This window comes from Homo sapiens, chromosome 6, assembly GCF_000001405.40.
Source record: "Homo sapiens chromosome 6, GRCh38.p14 Primary Assembly".
Taxonomy (NCBI): domain Eukaryota; kingdom Metazoa; phylum Chordata; class Mammalia; order Primates; family Hominidae; genus Homo; species Homo sapiens.
The window spans coordinates 77,760,941-77,780,195 of record NC_000006.12 but is presented as its reverse complement, the minus strand read 5'-3'; the positions used below and the strand labels follow the sequence as shown (position 1 = coordinate 77,780,195).

General features: G+C 37.1%; 1 protein-coding gene across 4 annotated transcripts in view; it reads right to left on the bottom strand.

The window, feature by feature from the left end:
* MEI4 (meiotic double-stranded break formation protein 4) overlaps positions 1–19,255 on the bottom strand; it is a 276,772-nt gene that overhangs the window by 146,850 nt on the left and 110,667 nt on the right. For all 4 annotated transcript variants that reach the window (NM_001282136.3, NM_001322247.2, XM_017010155.2 and 1 more), the window contains one exon: positions 18,531–19,066. In NM_001282136.3, coding sequence (NP_001269065.1) covers positions 18,531–19,066 — 536 coding nt within the window. The remainder of the gene's footprint in view (positions 1–18,530; positions 19,067–19,255) is intronic.

The window sequence follows — 19,255 nt, the reverse complement described above, 5'->3', positions numbered from 1 at the left end:
AAATCTTTTACTGAAGCTATGCAAACCTCCCAGCCTTCCAAAAAGATTTGTGTCTATTTCCTATAACTTTATAATTTTTCCCACCCCTCAGACCGGACTCCAACCCTGCATGTAGTCAGCCTGCAAGCTGGTCTGCAATGATCCTTGAAATACTCTGCTTTTTCTTAAGCTGACCTGAAGAAGTCTCCATTCTTTGCAAACTCTTTAGAATACTTGTTATTTTCCAATACCCATCCATTTGAGTTAACTACTGACTAAAATTCTGGCTTTCAGACATCCCCAATAATTTCAAATGCCTATGTTATGTTAAGAGAGTCACAGATATTTTCTCATCAGGAAAAATAGTGCTTATTTTAAAGTGTTAACTCTCAAAATGAACATGAACAACCACAGCCATCTGCATGCCATGTTCCTCTGCTGTCTGTTTCTAAGAGTTTCCAAACTAAAGCATAGAAGTAAGGGGGAATTTTGTATTTTGACAGAGATAACTGGGAGATGAAAACCAGGGAAAGGGGCAAATTATTAACAACAAAAAAACAGCTATGGTAAAATGGCATAACACATTCACAGTCACTAGTAACAGAAACAACAATCAAAAGGCACGTGTGTCTTAAGCTCAGCAAAAATCATATGCAAATATGATAACTTTTATACACATGTAATTTTAAATTATTATTTTGGATTATTTATACTATTCTTCCCCAGCATTAGCTCAGAAAATTAAGCTGTTTATATGCAAGTAATAATAAGACTGCCAGCACATTAAGATTTTAGAATATCTTCAGCAAATTTGTGACAAGGGTACTAAATTATCTGGTTATCACAGTTACATATTAATCATATGAAAAGCTTATGACTTGGAACACCTTTCAGTTCTTACCTTATTAAGCCTCTGAGTAGCATGCAGCAAAGCTGACTATACTCTTCTTTGTGAAATACTCTCTTCTATTGGTTTCCATGACAATACTTTCCTAATTTTTCTCCTATTGCTTTAATCCTCCAATTCTTTAACTTCTTTGCAGGCTTCTTCATCTCTACATGACCACTAAATGTTGGCACTCCTCTGGGCTCAGTACTAGGTCCTCCTCTTTCTAATACTGATTTGTTTTCCCATAGCCTTAAAAAGCCTCTAAATTCTGACAAAGACTAAATTTACTTCCAGGCCAGTACTTTCCTTTAAGCTCCATATTGATAACGCCACTGATTTGCTTTGCTTTGCAAATCTGTCTTACAGTCATCTTACAATTATCATTAAACTCAATATGTCTGAAAGGGAACTTGGGCTCCCCTCTCTTTTCCAAGACTGTTCTCCTTCCAGGCCTTCTTATATCTCTAAATAGCACCTCCATGCACCCAGTTGTTAATGATCAGAAACTAGGAATACTGTTGATGTCTATTTCTCCATGTCAAATCCTTACATTCTCCCCCTAATACTTACTGGATTTTGGTATTTATTTATTTATTTATTTATTTATTTATTTATTTATTTGAGACAGGGTCTCAGGTCTCGCTCTGTCACTCAGGCTGGAGTGCAGTGTTGCAATCATGGCTTGCAGTAGCCTTGACCTCTTGGGTCAAGGATTCTCCCATCTCAGCCTCCCAGGTAGCTGAGACTACAGACGCTCGCCATACCGCCCAGCTATTTTTTTGTATTTTTAGTAGAGACAGGGCTTCTCCATGTTGTCCAGACTGGTCTTCAATTCCTGGGCTCAGGCAATTCACCTGCCTCGGCCTTCCAGAGTGCTGGAATTACAGGCATGAGCCACCACACCTAGCCTGGATTTTTACTTGTACTAAAGTTGTTCAGACATATGCCATAGGATAGTTTTATAACATTTATTCCATAGCAAGTAACACCCTACTCCTTTCCACCATCACCTCTATTTGCAACTCTTCTAGCTGATTGTTTTTGTATTTACCTGTATTATTCTCAATAACATAAAAAATACTGATTTTCTACTATGGATGCCTACAATTTGACTTTCTTTGCCCTTTACTAATCTCCCTTTTCTCCCTCTCTCCCCCTTTCCCTTCCTTCCCACCCCACCACCCCCCGCCCCGCACTCTCTTGCCTGCTCTCTCACATATACACACACTTTTCTTCAATAATTTTGCTATATCATTACTCAATGTTTAAACTACACACAGCCAAGCCATGTAAAATACTATGTATCTTTTCCATTTTGGTAAATTTTTCCTATTGTTAGTAATTACCTTGTTTTATTCATCGGCATAATTTTTATGTACCAAACCTTCCAAACTGTTATTAATTTATGTGTTTTCATAACCATATTTTTTAAATTTAAAGGTTTTTTTAATTCCCTGAAAATTTTAAAACATCATTTTCTTTTTTTCCTGGTTGTAAAACATGCTTTTACCTTTCTGAGAATATATGCATTTTAAATGTAAGTTTTGCATTTCTGCCTGCTCTTTGGTTCCCCCATGTTGTCATCAGGATTTAAGTTTTGTCATTAGATTATTTCCTTAGATATCTGCTAATCCTGATTATATGGGTATACTTAAGAGCAAGGACTGAAAGCTAACTAGAAGCTCTTGGTTCGTGGGTGAGGCTTGTGCACTGTAAGCTTTAGTGTAGGATGATTTGGCTGCTCTTTTTTCCTTTAGGGAAATTTGATAGCAATACATTCATATCTTTCCTCTTGGGATGGTCAATTTTATTCTACTTTTTATTTCCAATGAAAAAATATCCAGTCTTTTACTGATTGTGGGAGGACAATTCCCCTTTCCTGAGGCAGAAGCGGGGCTTCAGGATTCTAAGTGCTTCCAAAGCACATTTCTGACCAATCTTCCTTATTTTATATTCTAGCACCTGGCTTCCATTCTCTCTTCCAGAGGTAACTAGTAGAGCTAATTTATGAGTCTTTTGCAGATTGTACTGTGTTAAGTTAGTTAATAGCTTTCTCAAATTCTCCTTTGTGGTTCTGTTTTCTTGGGTCTGCTAAGGGATTTATCAATTGTCTATTTCCTTTCTAACTTCCAATAGTTTTTTACTGTTGCAGTCTCATGTTCTCCATATGTTTGTGCCTTTTTAAAAAAGTTCTTTACTATCATTTTCATCAGGATAGGGGCCAGTTTAGATTTGTGTCCTCAATATACTAACTTTAATGCAAAAGCTTCCAGTGTATACTTTACCCCCAGTATATATTTTAGGTGCATACATATCTCCATTTCTACTTACAGCACCAAAATAAGCCACTATCCACTCTCACCTGGACTACTACATAGCATAAGTTGTTTCTCTTGCTACCTCTTATCTCTTGCTAATCAATTATCCTAATGCTATTCAAAGTAAAGTTTTAAAATCTAAAACAATCAATGACTTGCCATCAAATATCAAATAAAACCCAAACTCCTTGCCATGACCTAGCTAGTTAAGATGTTTTGTGTTGGCAAGCTGCAGAAAACCCAATTCCAACTACCTTAAATGGTATCAAAATGCACTGACTCATATCATTGGAAATCCAGAAACTACAGAGGCTTCAGGGTTGACTTAACATGGCTCTGGCTTGGATTTACTTTGATTCTCTAGGTTTTATCCTTCTTTATGTGGCTGCTTATCCTTTCAGATGGCAGCAAGATAACTGTAAGAGTTCCAGTTTTACATCCTTCACAAGAGAGTAGCCAGAGAAAGAAATAAAAGTTGCCTCTCATAATCTTCCAGAGAATGAGGAGAAAAGTTCCCAGAAGCCTGAAGGAAGCCATTTCTGGGGCCTCACCGGACTGAAATGCACCAAGTTTCTATACCTGGCAAAGGAGATTAAATTAGAATTATCCTTAGACCAAGAAGCTCTGTGGGTAGCGGCATGGCCTATTTGGAAGAAGGCATAGATATTTTATTAAAATCAAAGGGTAAGAGTCAAAATTAATACTGGTTAGGTATAGTAAGCAGAAAAAAAGCCCTCAAAAGATATCCACATAAAGTCCCTAGAATCTGTGATTGTTACCACTTTATTTAGAAAAAGAGTCTTTGCTTCTACACAGCAAAAAAACAAAAACAAAAACAAAAACAAAAAAAAAACAATTAGCAGAGTAAACAGACATCCCAGAGAGTGGGAGAAAATCCTTGCAATCTATACATCCAACAAAGGACTAATAGCCAGAATCTACAATGAACTCAAACAAATCAGCAAGAAAAAAAAATCCCATCAAAAAGTGGGCTAAAGACATGAATAGACAATTCTCAAAAGAAGATAAACAAATGGTCAACAAACATGAAAAAATGCTCAACATCACTAATGATCAGGGAAGCGCAAATCAAAACCACAATGCAATACCACCTTGCTCCTGCAAGAATGGCCGAAAAATAGAAAAATAATAGATGTTGGCATGGATGCAGTTAAAAGAGAACAGTTTTACACTTCTGGTGGGAACGGAAACTAGTACAACTGCTATGGAAAACAGTTTGGAGATTCTTTAAAGAACTAAAAGTAGAACTACCATTTGATCCAGCAATCCTACTACTGGTTAACTACCCAGAGGAAAAGAAGTCACAATAAAAGTCACATACACAAAAAATACTTACACATGCATGTTTATAGAAGCACAACTTGCAATTGCAAATATATGAAACTGGCCCAAATGCCCATCAATCAACAAGTAAATAAAGAAATTGTGGTATATAAATATACCATGAAATACCACACAGCCATAAAAAGGAATGAAATAATGGCATTCACATCAACCTGGATGGTATTGAAGACCATTATTCTAAGTGAAGTAACTCAGGAATTGAAAACCAGACATTGTATGTTCTCACTCATAAGTGGGAGCTATGCTATGAAGACGCAAAGGCGTAAGAATGATACAACGGACTTTGGGGACTCGGGGGAAAGGGTGGGAGGGGAATGAGAGAAAAAAGACCACACACTGGGTACAGTGTACACTGCTTAACGGGAAAACCAAAATCTCAGAAATGACGACTAAAGAACTTATTCATGTAACCAAACACCACCTGTTCCCCCAAATCCTATAGAATGATAGAAGAAAGAAAAACGGTCTTTGCAGAGATGATTAAATTAAGAATCTGAGATGAAGAGGTAATCCTGAATTGTCCAGGAGGTCCCTAAATGCCGTCGCAAATATTCTTGTAAGAGAGAGGCAGAGAGATATTAGACAAATGGTGGAGATTATGTGAAGATGGAGCAGACAGAGATTCAGCCACAAGTCATGAAATGCTGGCTGACCCTAAAAGATGTTAAGAGGCAAGGAAAGATTCTCCTTTCATGCTACAGGAAGATATGTGGCCCTGTATACACTGTTATTTAAGAATCCTGGCCTCAGAACTGTGAGAGAATATATTTCTGTTGTTTTAAGGCACTAGTTTGTGGTAATTTGTTACAGCAGCCATAGAAAACTAATACAGTAGGCAACATACCAATCCTTTCCAGTCTATATTTTTCTAAACTATTATGAGTAAAGAGTAGAGAGCTGCAGCTCTCTACCCTTCTCTTTCTCAAACTGAAAACACTGCTTCCTTTCAAATATTCAAATAACATCCTGGCTCAGGCATATATGCTATGATAACTGTCTTAGAATGACATGTTAGACCACAAAAATTCTTACTCCAACTCTACCTACTTAACTTCCTCTCATCCTGTTTAAAAGCTACTTCCTGCATTAGGCCTTCTATGTCCCAACAATCTAATTAGGTCCTCGCTTACCAGCCTTTGGTAAACATCATTTTACTCTCTATCTCTATGGATTCAACTGTTTTAATTTTTAAATGCCACAAATAAGTAAGAACATGTGAAGTTTGTCTTCCTGGGCCTCACTTATTTCATTTAAAATAATGGCCTCCAGTTCCATCAATGTCGTTGCAAATGACAGGATCTCATTCTTTTTTTACGGCTGACTACTACTTCATTCTGTGTATGTACCACATTTTATTTATCCATTCGTCTGATGATGGACACTTAGATTGCTCCCCAGTTTTAGCTATTGTGAATAATGCTGCAGTATACATGAGAGTGCAGATATCTCTTTGATGTACTGATTTCCTTTCTTCTGGGTATACACCTAGCAGTGGGGTTCCTGGATCATTTGAAGTTCTATTTTTATTCTTCTGAGAAACTCAAACTGTTCTCCATAGTGGTTGTACTAATTTACATTTACACCAACAGTGTACAAGGGTCTTTTTTTCTCCACATCCTCACCAGCAGTTGTCATTATCTGTCTTTTTAATAAAAGCCATTTTAATTGGGGTAAGATTACATCTCATTATCGTTTTAATTTGCATTTTCCTGATGATCAATGACATTGAGGACTTTTTCATATACCTGTTTGCCATTTGTATTTCTTTGGAGAAATGTCTATTCAGATATTTGCCCATTTAAAAATCAGATTATTAGATGTTTTTCTTACAGAGTTATTTGAGCTGCTGATATAGTCTAGTTATTAGTCCCTTGTCAAATGAGTAGTTTACAGATATTTCCTCCCATTCTGTGGGTCATCTCTTCACTTTCTTAATTGTTTTCTTTGATAGGCAAAACTTTTTAACTTGATGTAATCCAATCTGTCCATTTTTGCTTTGATTGCCTTTGCTTGTGAGGTATTACTCAAGAAACCTTTGCCCAGACCAATGTGCTGGAAAGTTTTCCCAATGTTGCTTCATAGTTTGAGATTTTAATTTTTAATCCACTGTGATTTGATTTTTGTATATGTTGACAGATAGGGGTCTAGTATCACTCCTTTACATATAGATATCCAGCTTTCCCAGTACCATTCACAGAAGAGACTGTTCTTTCTCCAGTGTATGTTCTTGCCACCTTTGTCAAAAATGAGTTCACTGTAGATGGGTAGATTTATTTCTGGGTTCTCTATTTTGTTCCATTGATTTGTATGTCTGTTTCTATGTCAGTACAACACTATTTTGATGACTACAGCTCTCCAGTATAGTGGTAATGTGATTCCTCCATCTTTGTTCTTTTTGCCCCAGATACCTTTGGCTATTCTGGGTCTTTTGTGGTTCTATATAAGTTTTAGGACTATTTTTTCTATTCTGGTGAAAAATGCCATTAGTATTTTGATAGCGATTACAATGACTCTATAGATTGCTTGGGGTAGTATGAACATTTTAGCAATATTGATTATTCCAATCCATGAACATGAAATATATTTTGGTTTTTGTGTGTTTCCTCTCCTATTTCTTTCATCAGTGTTTTACAGTTTTCATTGAAGACATCTTTCTCTTCTTTATTCATAGGTCTTTTATTATATTTGTAGCTGTTGTAAATGGCATTACTTTCTTGATTTCTTTTTAACATTTTTCACTGTTGGCATATAGAAATGCTAGTGATTTCTCTTTGTTGATCTTGAATCCCACAAATTTACTAAATTTGTTTTCAGTTCTTACAGTTTTCTTGTGGAGTCTTTGGATATTTCCAAATAAATGATATCATCTACAAACAAAAATAATTTGAATTATTCCTTCCCAATCTGAATGCACTTTATTTCTCTTGTCTGATTGTTCTAGCTAGAATTTCCAATACTATGTTGAAGTGCATATCCTTGTTGTCTTCCAGATCTTAGAGGAAAGGCTTTCAGTTTTTTCCCATTCAGTATGATACTGGCTGTGGCTCTGTCAAATATGGCTTTTATTCTGTTGAGGTATATTACTTCTATTAATATATCCAGTTTATTGACAGTTTTAATCCTGGAGGGATACTGAAGTTTATCATATGCTTTTTCCACACCAATTGAAATAATCATGTTTTTTGTCATTCATTCTGATAATATGATGTATCACATTGATTGATTTGTGTATGCTGAACCATCCTTGCATCCTGGGTTAAATCACACTTGGTCATGATGAATGACCTTTTTAATGTGTTGTGGAATTTGGTTTGCTAGATTTTTGTTGAGGATTTTGTAACAATGTTCATGAGGGATACTGGCCTGTAGTTTTCTTTTTTTTTTTTTTGATGTGTCTTTGTCTGGTTTTGCTTTCAGGGTAATATTGGCCATTTAGAATGAGTTTGGAAGTATCTTCTTCTCTATTTTTCAGAAGAGTTTGAGCAGGATTGGTATTAGTTCAAAATTAAATGTCTGATAAAATTCAGAAGTGAAGTCACTGATTCCAGGATTTTCTTTACAGGGAGACTTTTTAATTTCACCATTAATTATCTTTTTATTTCACTTTAATGTTATTTTATGATAGTCACAAAAAGAATGATGTATAAAATAATAATGTAAATTTCTATAATTAGAATTTCAGGTGTATAATTTTCTCTTAACTTTTATTTTAGGTTTAGGGGTACAGGTGCAGGTTTGTTATATAAGTAAACTCATGTCATGGAGGTTTGGTGTACAGATTATTTTATCACCCAGGTTCTAAGCACAGTGCTCAATAGGTATTTTTTCTAGTCTTCTCCCTCCTCCTACCAACCACCATACAGTAGGATCCAGTGTCTATTGTTACCCTCCTTGTGTCCATGTGTGCTTGTTATTTAGCTCCCATTTATAAGTGAGAACATGTAATATTTCATTTCTGTTGCTTTGTTAGTTTCCCAAGGATAATGGTCTCCAGTTCCATCCATGTTGCTGCAATGAACATTATCTCATTCTTTTTATGACTGCATAGTATTCCACAGTGTATATGTACCATATTTTCCTTATCCAGTTTACTGTTAATGGGCATTTAGGTTGATAACATGTCTTTGCTACTGTGAATAGTGCTACAATGAACACATGCATGCATCTGTCTTTATAGTAAAATAATTCATATTTCTTTGGGTATATACCCAATAATGAAATTTCCAGGTAAAATAGTAATTCCTTTTTAGTTCTTTAGAAAATCACCACAATACTTTCCACAATGGCTGAATTAATTTACACTCCCCCCAACAATGTATAAGTGTTTCCTTTTCTCCACAACCTTGCCAGCATCTGTTTTTTTCTGATTTTTTTAATAACAGCCATTCAGACTGGTTGAGATGGTATCTCATTGTGGTTTTGATTTGCATTTCTCTAATGATTAGTAATGTTGAGCATTTTTTTCATATGCTTGTTAGCCACATGTATGTCTTCTTTTGAAAAGTGTCGATTCATGTCCTTTTCCAACTCGTAATAGTGTTGTTTGTTTTTTGTTTGTAAATTTGTTTAAGTTCCTTATAGGCTCTGGATATTAGGACTTTGTCAGAGCACAGATTGAAAATATTTTCTCCCTTCCTGTAGGGTGCCTATTTACTCTGTTGATAGTTTATTTTGCTGTGCAAAAGCTCTAAAGTTTAATTTGATCCCATATGTCAATTTTTTCTTTTGCTGCAATTGTTTTTGGTGTCTTCAGCATGAAATTTTCACCAGGTACTGTCCAGAATGGTATTTCCTAGGTCATCTCCCAGGGTTTTAGCAGTTATTTTTTTTGTTTGTTTGTTTTACATTTAGGTTTTTGGTCCGTCTTGAGTTGATTTAATGAATAGGGAGTCCTCTCCTCATTGCTTGTTTATGTCTACTTTCTCAAACATCGGATGGCTGGAGGTGTGGAGCATTATTTCTAAGCTCTTTATTCTATTCCATTGGTTTATGTGTCTGTTTGTATACCAGCACCTTGCTGTTTCATTTACTGTAGCCCTATAGTGTGGATCACAGGTAACGTGATGCCTCCAGCTTTGTTCTTTTTGCTTAAAATTGCCTTGGGTATTTGGGCTCTTTTTTGGTTCTGTGTAATTTTTAATTTTTTTTTTGTGAAGAATAAGATTGGTATTTTGACAGGAATAGCATTGAATGTATAAACTGCTTTGGGCAGTATAGAAATTTAAATATTTTTTCCTGTCCATGAGCATTGGATGTTTTCCATTTGTTTGTGTCATCTATGATTTGTTTGAGCAATGTTTCTCATTGTAAACTTTGTATTAGGGCTCCAATCTCATTGCTTGTTATTGGCCTATTCAGGCTTTAAATTTCTTCATGGTTCAATCTTGGTAGGTTGTATATGTTAGGAATTTATATAATTCTTCTAGGTTTTCCAATTTACTGGCATATAGTTGTTCAAAGTAGCTGCTAATGATACTTTGAATTTCTGAGGTATTGGTTGTAATGTCTCTCCTTTTTTGTCTTTGATTATATTTACTTGGGTCTTCTCTCTTTACTCTTAGTCTAGCTAAAGGTTTTTTGATTTTGTTTATCCCAGGTGCTCTCTTGGTGCTCTACCCCACTGCGGCCAAGCTGGTACCAGGCTGCAAGATAAAGACCCCTTTACTCTTCTGTCTCCTTTTCTCAAGCAGAAGTGGTCTCTCCCCAAAGTTACCACAGCTGGGAATGTGCTGGGTCACACCTGAAGCCAACATGGCTCTGGGTCTCACCCAAGGCCTGTGGTAAATACTGCCTGGCTACCAATACTAATTATTCAGGGCCCAAGGGCTGTTTATTCAGCACATGATAAATTCTGCCAGGACTGGGCCCTTCCCTTCAAGGCAATGGGTTCCCTTCTGGCCCATGGTGTGTTTAGAAATGTCATCCAGGAGCTAGGGTCTGGGATGGGGGCCTTAGGAGTCTGCCCGTTGCCTTATTCTACTGTGGATGGGCTGGAATCCAAGTTGCAAAACAAAGTCCTCTTCCCCTCCACCTTCCTCAAGCAGATGGAAGGGGTCTTGGAGGTACAATCTGTACTGCCTGGGGTTGGTGGAGGGGTGACACAAGCACTTCCTTGGTTGTCTCAGCTGGTATCTCACTAGGTTCCATGCACTCCAAGTTCCCTGGCTCCAAGCCCAACACAGCACCAGGACTTGTGCAGGAATTGCAGTCCTTGTGGTCTAGGTTGCCTTTCATGTTTATTTAGAACCCCAGAACACTTTAGCCCATGGTGGCAGGACTTGCCAAAAGTCAGGTTCCAATTGCTAGGATGGATGATTTGCCTCTGGACAGGCCTAGTATAAACATTCCCTCTATGGGCACAAGCTGAGTTCTGCCCCCTGTTGCTTCCCACTGACAGGACAGCACTAAGCTGCAAAGCAAAGTCCCATAATCAGTATGTTCTCTCTACCCCAAACACACAGATCATCTTTCTGTGCCATATGGCCGCTGCCAGGGAATAGGGAAGGGGTGGTGTAGGCAATTCAAGACAGATTTTCTTGCCCTCTTCCATGCCTCTTTCCTTAATGTAATGTTAAAATCAGGTACTATTATAGCTCACCTGATTTTTGGTTCTTATGAAGGTCCTTTCCTGTGTGGACTGTTGTTCAATTTAGTCTTCCTGTGGAGGCAAAGGGGGTACAGCAATTCCTAGAGGCTTGTATTTGGGTATCTTGCTCTGCCTCCTTTGATAGTTTTATTTTTATGTACACACAAGCAAAACCATATAACTTATATTCAATTAGAAACTAAGATGACAAGGCTGTATATGCAATTATAAAGTTTCCAAAAGACTGTTGTTTATAGCCAATAAAAAAGAACAAGAAACAGGTGATCCTATATTGCACCACAGAACAGGACCTTCCTTTTCTTTCTCCTGTTGCTGTCTGTAATTTTTTTTTTTTTTTTGAGATGGAGTCTTGCTCTGTCACCCAGGCGGGAGTGCAGTGACATGATCTCAGCTCACTGCAACCTCTGCCTCCCAGGTCCAAGCGATTCTCCTGCCTCATTCTCCCAAGTAGCTGGGACTACAGGTGCATGCCACCATGTCTGGCTATTTTTTGTATTTTTAGTAGAGACAGGGTTTTCCCACGTTGGCCAGGCTGGTCTCGAACTCCTGACCTCAGGTGATCTACCCACCTCAGCCTCCCAAAGTGCTGGGGTTACAGGCGTGAGCCACCGCACCCAGCCCTATAAACATACATTTTTACACATAATATAATTCAGCAATTTAACCAAACCAATGTAAATATTGTCTTTATGAAATTTAGAGAAATGGCACTAAGGTCTTTCATTACCAATGAATATTTTCTTTAACCCATTAACAAAAGTCAGTTTATTTCCTTTGCACTTAGGAAAAAAAAATCTAGAAAACTGTAAAAATTAGTGATGGAAATAGGACATAATATCAAGAGGAAAATATTCAGCATCATATACCTGAACATGAGACCTAGGTCTTCTACTACTGGTTAAGTACTTCCAGTGAGTCCATTAACCTGCCTGAACTCAATTTTCTCATCTATAAACTGAAGATAGTAATAACAACCATGACACAGAGTTGTTGTCTGAACAGATAATAAGTTCCATGTGAAAGTACTTTATAAACTATAAAGCATAATAGGAAGACTGCTATTATTTTAATAAGAGGTATTTAAATGTATAGTATACTTTGAAAGTAAATTGAAGAAAGTTCTGTTCTGTCTCTTCCTCCTTCCTCTGCATGAGCAATGAAAGTTAAACACTGCTTTGAAAATTCAGAAAATGTTTGATTTATATACTGATGCAGTGATCAAAAGAAGTATTAAGATTTTGGTTTATGATACAACTGTTTCAGTAAGTGTTTATCTAATTAAAGTAAAATTGCAGGAACATTAACCCAGATTTTTCCGTGTGTGTGTGTGTGTGTGTGTGTGTGACAGTTTCCTGCTCTGTGGCCCAGGCTAGAGTGCTCTCATGTGATCTGTTCTCACTGCAATCTCTGCCTCCTGGGCTCAAGCAATCCTACCACCTCAGACTCGTGAGTAGCTGGGACTACAGGTGTGCAAGACCATGCCTGGCTAATATTTTTGGAATTTTTGTAGAGACAGGGTCTCACCATGTTGCCAAGGATGGTCTCAAACTCCTGGGCTCAAGTGATCTGCCTGCCTCGGCCTCCCAAAGTACTGGGAATACAGGGGTGAGCCACCATGCCTGACTTATTTATTTATTTATTTATTTATTCATTTATTTATTTATTGAGGGAGTCTCAGTCACCAGGCTGGAGTGCAGTGGTGCAGTCTTGGCTCACTGTCACCTCTGCCTCCCGGGTTCAAGCGATTCTCCTGCCTCAGCTTCCCAAGTAGCTGGGACTACAGGCGCACACCACCATGCCCAGCTAATTTTTGTATTTTTAGTAGAGATGGGGTTTCACAATGTTGGCCAGGATGGTCTCTATCTATTGACCTCATGATCCACCTGCCTAGGCCTCCCAAAGTGCTGGGATTACAGGTGTGAGCCACCGCGCCCAGCCGTTTGTTTGTTTGTTTAATACAGCTATAAGCAAGGATGAAATGACCCTTAACCTTAGACTTCCTTTATATTTCCCAAGGAATATTCTCAAAGCAGAGTGGTTAAGTAACTGGTTAATAGCCATGAACATAAAAAATCTCAAACACAGAGGATAAGGTTGTTGGAAAGTTAGCACAGGAAGAAAAGCCTGTGTTATTACTAAAACAATGTCCTAACTTGCAGCAGAGAAACATACAACAAACACTGCTACCTGAGTAGAATTAAATTAAAAAGTCAACATATTTTACTGGTCAATACAATTACAGCATGAATAAGTTTCAAGATACAACTAAGGGATACATACTAGAAAAAAAACAAAACTGATTTCGACCTGGCATGGTCAAAATCAGGATTTTGATTACAGGCTCACGCCTGTAATCCCAGCACTTTGGGAGGCCGAGGTGGGCGGATCACGAGGTCAGGAGATCGAGATCATCCTGGCTAACACGGTGAAACCATCTCTACTAAAAATACAAAAAAATTAGCCGGGTGTGGTGGCAGGCACCTGTAGTCCCAGCTACTCAGAAGGCTGAGGCAGGAGAATGGCGTGAACCCAGGAGGCAGAGCTTGCAGTGAGCCGAGATTGTGCCACTGCACTCCAGCCTGGGCAACAGAGAGAGACTCCGTCTCAAAAAAATAAATAAATAAATATCTGATTTCATGATCCATCATCTTCAGATTTATCCATAAACTGCCTGAAATGATCTAAGCAAAAATCACTGTGATTGAAGCAAAAACGACAGTACTAGAGGGAATCACCAACTTCAAAATGCTATATCAGAGATGCAACATAGCACAGCTTTATAGGAAGGGACCAGTGGAAAGAGTAATTAAAACCACAACATTCAAATAGTTAAATTTAAAAGGACTTCCCATAATTAAAACAGAAAGAAAAATATCCACTATTCCCTACTAAGCTCATTGGTCAACTGGAAGCTGTAGCTGTGGAAAATAGTGACACAAAGAGATAATATACAGCTTCCTAATATATATGGAGGTGTTTCAGGAATGTCATGGTGTTAATAAGAGCTGCTGCTTAGAAAATCAGCTGATGGTCCCCTTCCTGTGTCCATGTGTTCTTATTGTTCAATTCCCATCTATGAGTGAGAACATGTGGTGTTTGGTTTTTTGTCCTTGCGATACTTTGCTGAGAATGATGGTTTCCAGCTTCATCCTACAAAGGACATGAACTCATCATTTTTTATGGCTGCATAATATTCAATGGTATATATGTGCCACATTTTCTTAATCCAGTCTATCATTGTTGGACATTTGGGTTGGTTCCAAGTCTTTGCTATTGTGCATAGTGCTGCAATAAACATATGTGTGCATGTGTCTTTATAGCAGCATGATTTATAATCCTTTGGGTATATACCCAGTAATGGGATGGCTGGGTCAAATGGAATTTCTAGTTCTAGATCCCTGAGGAATTGCCACACTGTCTTCCACAATGGTTGAACTAGTTCACACCAGGGACTGTTGTGGGGTGGGGGGAGGGGAGAGGGATAGCATTAGGAGATATACCTAATGCTAAATGACCAGTTAATGGGTGCAGCACACCAACACAGCACATGTATACATATGTAACAAACCTGCACGTTGTGCACATGTACCCTAAAACTTAAAGTATAATAATAATAAAATTTAAAAAAAAATAAAATCAGCTGATGGTATTTAAGTTTATGAGGGTATATGAAATATAAGTTGTCACTTCTTCTCATTATCTTATTTTCAATTCAAAAAAATATCTCACGTTGCTGCTACAACAAACTCAACATTGTCTTGGGCATAGTGGAGAAAATAAGATATAATCACTTCCTCAAGAGAAAAGTAACAAAAAGAAACATTTATTAAGTTTTTATATGATGTCAGAAATTATGCTTAGTATTTAGCCCGATGAAGTGGTCACATTTATTACCTACATTTTACAGATGTAGAACTTGGAGGTTAGTTAACTTGTCTAAGGTCATAGCTATTGAGTAAAAGCTTCAGAATTCTAATTCGAGCTATTGATCACTGTGCTAAAAATAATTGAAAACTTGTTCATTTAAGATTCTTATTTTTTGATGTAGACATTCAACCTTATAAATGTCCTTATTACTACTTTTGCTGCATCCCATAGGTTTCGGTAAATTCTGTTTTCATTTTTGTTTGTCTTGAGATACTTTTGAATTTCCCTTTGATTTCTTCTTTGACACAAAGTTTGTTCAAAATTGTATTGTTTAGTTTCTACATACTTGTCAATTTTACCATTTTACCTATTGTTGTTGTATTCTAATTTCATTATATTGTGGTCAGAAAGAAACATCTAGAAAGCTTTTGAACTTCTAAAATGGTTAAGACATGTTTTGTGACCTAAAATTTGATTTATCCTGGAGAACATTCTGTGTGCACTTGAGAAGAATGTGTATTCTTTTGCTGTTGACTGGAAAGTTCTGTATATGTCAATTAAATCCATTTACTCTACAGTGTTGTTCAAGTCAGCTGTTTCTTTATTGATTTTTCTGTCTGGATGTTCCATCCATTATTGTAATTGAGGTATTAAAGTCCACTATGAAGAATAAACTAAGCCAAAAATTAGCAGAAAAAAGAGAATAATAAAGACTGGAGCAAAAAATAAATAGTGAACAACGAAACAGTTTAAAAATAAAAAAAATAAGAGTTTGCTTTTTGAAAAGATAATTGACAACCCTTGGCTAGAGTAAGAAAAGAAAAAGAAGACAAAATCAGAAATCAAAAAGGAGGTATTACAATGGATGGTTTAGACATAAAATGGATCATAAGGGAAGTATTATGAACAATTATATGCCAACAATCTGGATGACTTATAAGAAATGGATAAATTCCTAAAAATATGCAACTTACCAAAACTGAATCGAAAGAAACAGAAAGCCTGAAAAGACCAGTAACAAATAAGGGGATTGAATCAGCAATCAAAAGTCTCCCAACAGGCCGGGTGTGGTGGTTCACACCTGTAATCCCAGCACTTTGGGAGACCGAAGTGGGCAGATCACGAGGTCAAGAAATCAAGATCACCCTGGCCAACATGATGAAACCCCATCTCTACTAAAAATACAAAAATTAGCTGGGCATGGTGGCATGCACCTGTAGTCCCAGTTACTAGGGAGGCTGAGGCAGGAGAATCGCCTGAACCCAGGAAGTGGAGGTTGCAGTGAGCCAAGATTGTGCCACGGCACTCCAACCTGGTGACAGAGTGAGACTCCGTCTAGAAAAAAAAAAGTCTCCCAACAAATAATCTGACGACTACACAGGTGAATCCTACCAAACATTCAAAGAGGAATTGAGAACAATCTTTCTTAAACTCTTCCTGAAAATAAAAATGGCCACTTCCAAACACATTTTATGAGGTCAGGATTACCCTCATACCAAAACCAGGAAGACTCTACAAGAAATGAAAACTTGAGTTTTCATTTCAAACTTGTGATGGTATAGGTGGATCTATAGATGAAATATATATTTCCTATGTCACTTGCCATTGTGCCAACCATTGCTGAACAGTTGGTCAACAGTAGAAGAACAAGTGAATGAATGGCTTTCTTGCACGGGTAATTGCTGCAGTTGGAACCTGAGTTTTGGCAAGTCCTGCCACCATGGACTAAACCATTCTGGGGTTCTAAATAAACACGAAGGGCAACCTAGACCACAAGGACAACAATTTCTGCACAAGTCCTGGTGCTGTGCTGGGCTCAGAGCCAGGGAACTTGGTGTGCATGGAACATAGTGAGATACTAGCTGAGGCAACCAAGGAAGTGCTTATGTCACCCCTCCACAAACCCCAGGCAGCACAGCTTGCACCTCCAAGACTTGGTCCATCTGCTTGAGGAAGGTGGAAGAAAGAGAAAAGAGGACTTTCATTCACAAGTTTATGTGTAGTTTATTCTACACATTATCCTCCTTCCATACAATTCCCAAGGCTACTCTTGTATAGGTTTAAGTCATATCAACCTCCAATACATATATGAAGGCAAAGACTAGACTGGAAAAATATTTGCATCATTCAGTAATTCTGATATGGACTATAAATGCCAGTATCTTCAAGGTTCCAAGTTACATAAAGACTGCTTAAAGTAGTGTTTAAAAAGAAAGCAAAAGTATAAAAAGAAGTTTAAAAAATATCAAGTATTTAAGATATTTTCATGGTTTAGAAATGGATTTTATATCTCAGATACAACTATGGCAAATCTGATATTTAATTCCTGATTGACCATGTCCAAAAGAAAAAGATTTCCATTTTCCAGACAGAAAATTCAATATCTTTCACAAATGCCGAAGCTTACTCACAAAGTTTTTAAAATATTGATCAAATCATACCTTAATAGAGAAGGAAAGAACAGCTGTACATGAAACAAATTGGTTTATCAGTGCAAATTTTATTCAAAATTTTGAAAACTCAGATAAAGCCTCCACTGTACAAAAACCCTAAATGTTAGATCATAGCACGGAGGCAAATATTTAACAATGATGTATCCAAAGAAACAAGGTCCAATAACCTTTTTCCTACAATGAAATATAGTAAATAAGTTAGATAGACCTTTTAGTTTCTTCTATTATATTTTTGGTAGTCAAATAAAGAGGATTAAAATGTGAAGCCATTTGGAATTTCCCAGAAAAAGGATCAGATATTAAAGAAGGCAGAAATAATATGAAAAAGAAATTCTCTATCATGTCTCAAGAGCCAAACAACAAAACAACTTCAGGTTATCTCAATGTCACTTGTTAAGAAAGAATCCCTGAGTAAATCTTTCTAAGCCATGTTAAATAAATAAATAAGTAAGGAAATAAAACATAATAAAGCTTTATATTATGTGCTCCTTAGCCAATTTATTCAATTCACCTACATCTGCAGAGGGTCCATGGGGCATTTATCACTTACAAGGGAAAGGCCAAAAGAAGAGAAAAATATTCTTCAACCCCAAGGCATTTGCTAGTCAATGCCAGAAAAAGAGCAAATTCAATACAGTACAGATAATCCATCATGAGGAATTTAACACTCACAGACGTTAAGTTTGGAAAACCTTATTTGTTAGCAGTTTTCTCAAAAGTTTTGAGACTTTTTGAATAAGAAATAGAAACAGAAAAGGGAAAACATAAGAATAAAAGAATCCAAGGGTGCTGATAATAAAACAGAGAAAGTAATTCAAAGCAGAGCAGAACAAGTTTGAAGCAAAGGCATCTATGCAGAAAACTATGCTGTAGCAATCAGAGGCTAGAAGTGGAGACATCATGACAGATAAGAGCTGCAGACAGCTGCAGAAAAAGACCCAATAAGGGATTCCTTGAGCCACAAGGCTAAGGGACAACAACAGACATTACCCAAAGAGATGTTCACTAAAATTACTAGCATTTTAGGAATAAAAGAGGGATTTATTACTCACCTGATTTATATGATTGTTTCCTAAAATAGCATGTAGTAGGGTTTTCTCAAATTCTTCCAACTTCTTGGAACACTTTTTAAGAATATGACTAGATAAGTTATAGTCACTGATCAGACTAGCTAAAGTACCAACAGCTTCTGTCCAAAATCTTGAAAAAGGAAGTTTGGGATTACGGTAAAAAGTGATCAGGCCATCCAGCAATTGAAAAACAGAATCAGAGACTGTGGAAGAGTCTTTTTCAAAGTGGGTTAAGTCTCTTTTAAGATTACCTGATTCTGTCAAGTTCTTTAATTCAAGTAGATATTGCAAGAATTGCATGTGAGAAGACAAAGGATTTTGCAGGATAGCACAAGGTCTTTTCACAAGAGGCAGTGGTGGAAAGTGAGTGGGGGTACAGCTTTCCACAAAGTGCTGGGACAGGTCTGAGGATTCAGTTCTCTGCTCATTCGACAAATCACATCCAGAATCTTCCATCGAAGTTAATGTACTTTCAGAACTCTTAGGTTCCTGAGCCTCCAACTGGGAGGAAACGTATCCTGAAAAATAAAGGAATAGAAGGATTATCTTCATGCAGCTGAAATTTCTTCATGTAAAACTAGCCATTGATACTTATCTTAAAATAAGAAATGAAGTATATAAATACACATTAAGCATTTAACAAGCAGTAGTGTAAAAACTGAGTAAAGAAAAAACTGTGAAAGAAATTGTAGAGATTGTAGAAAAAA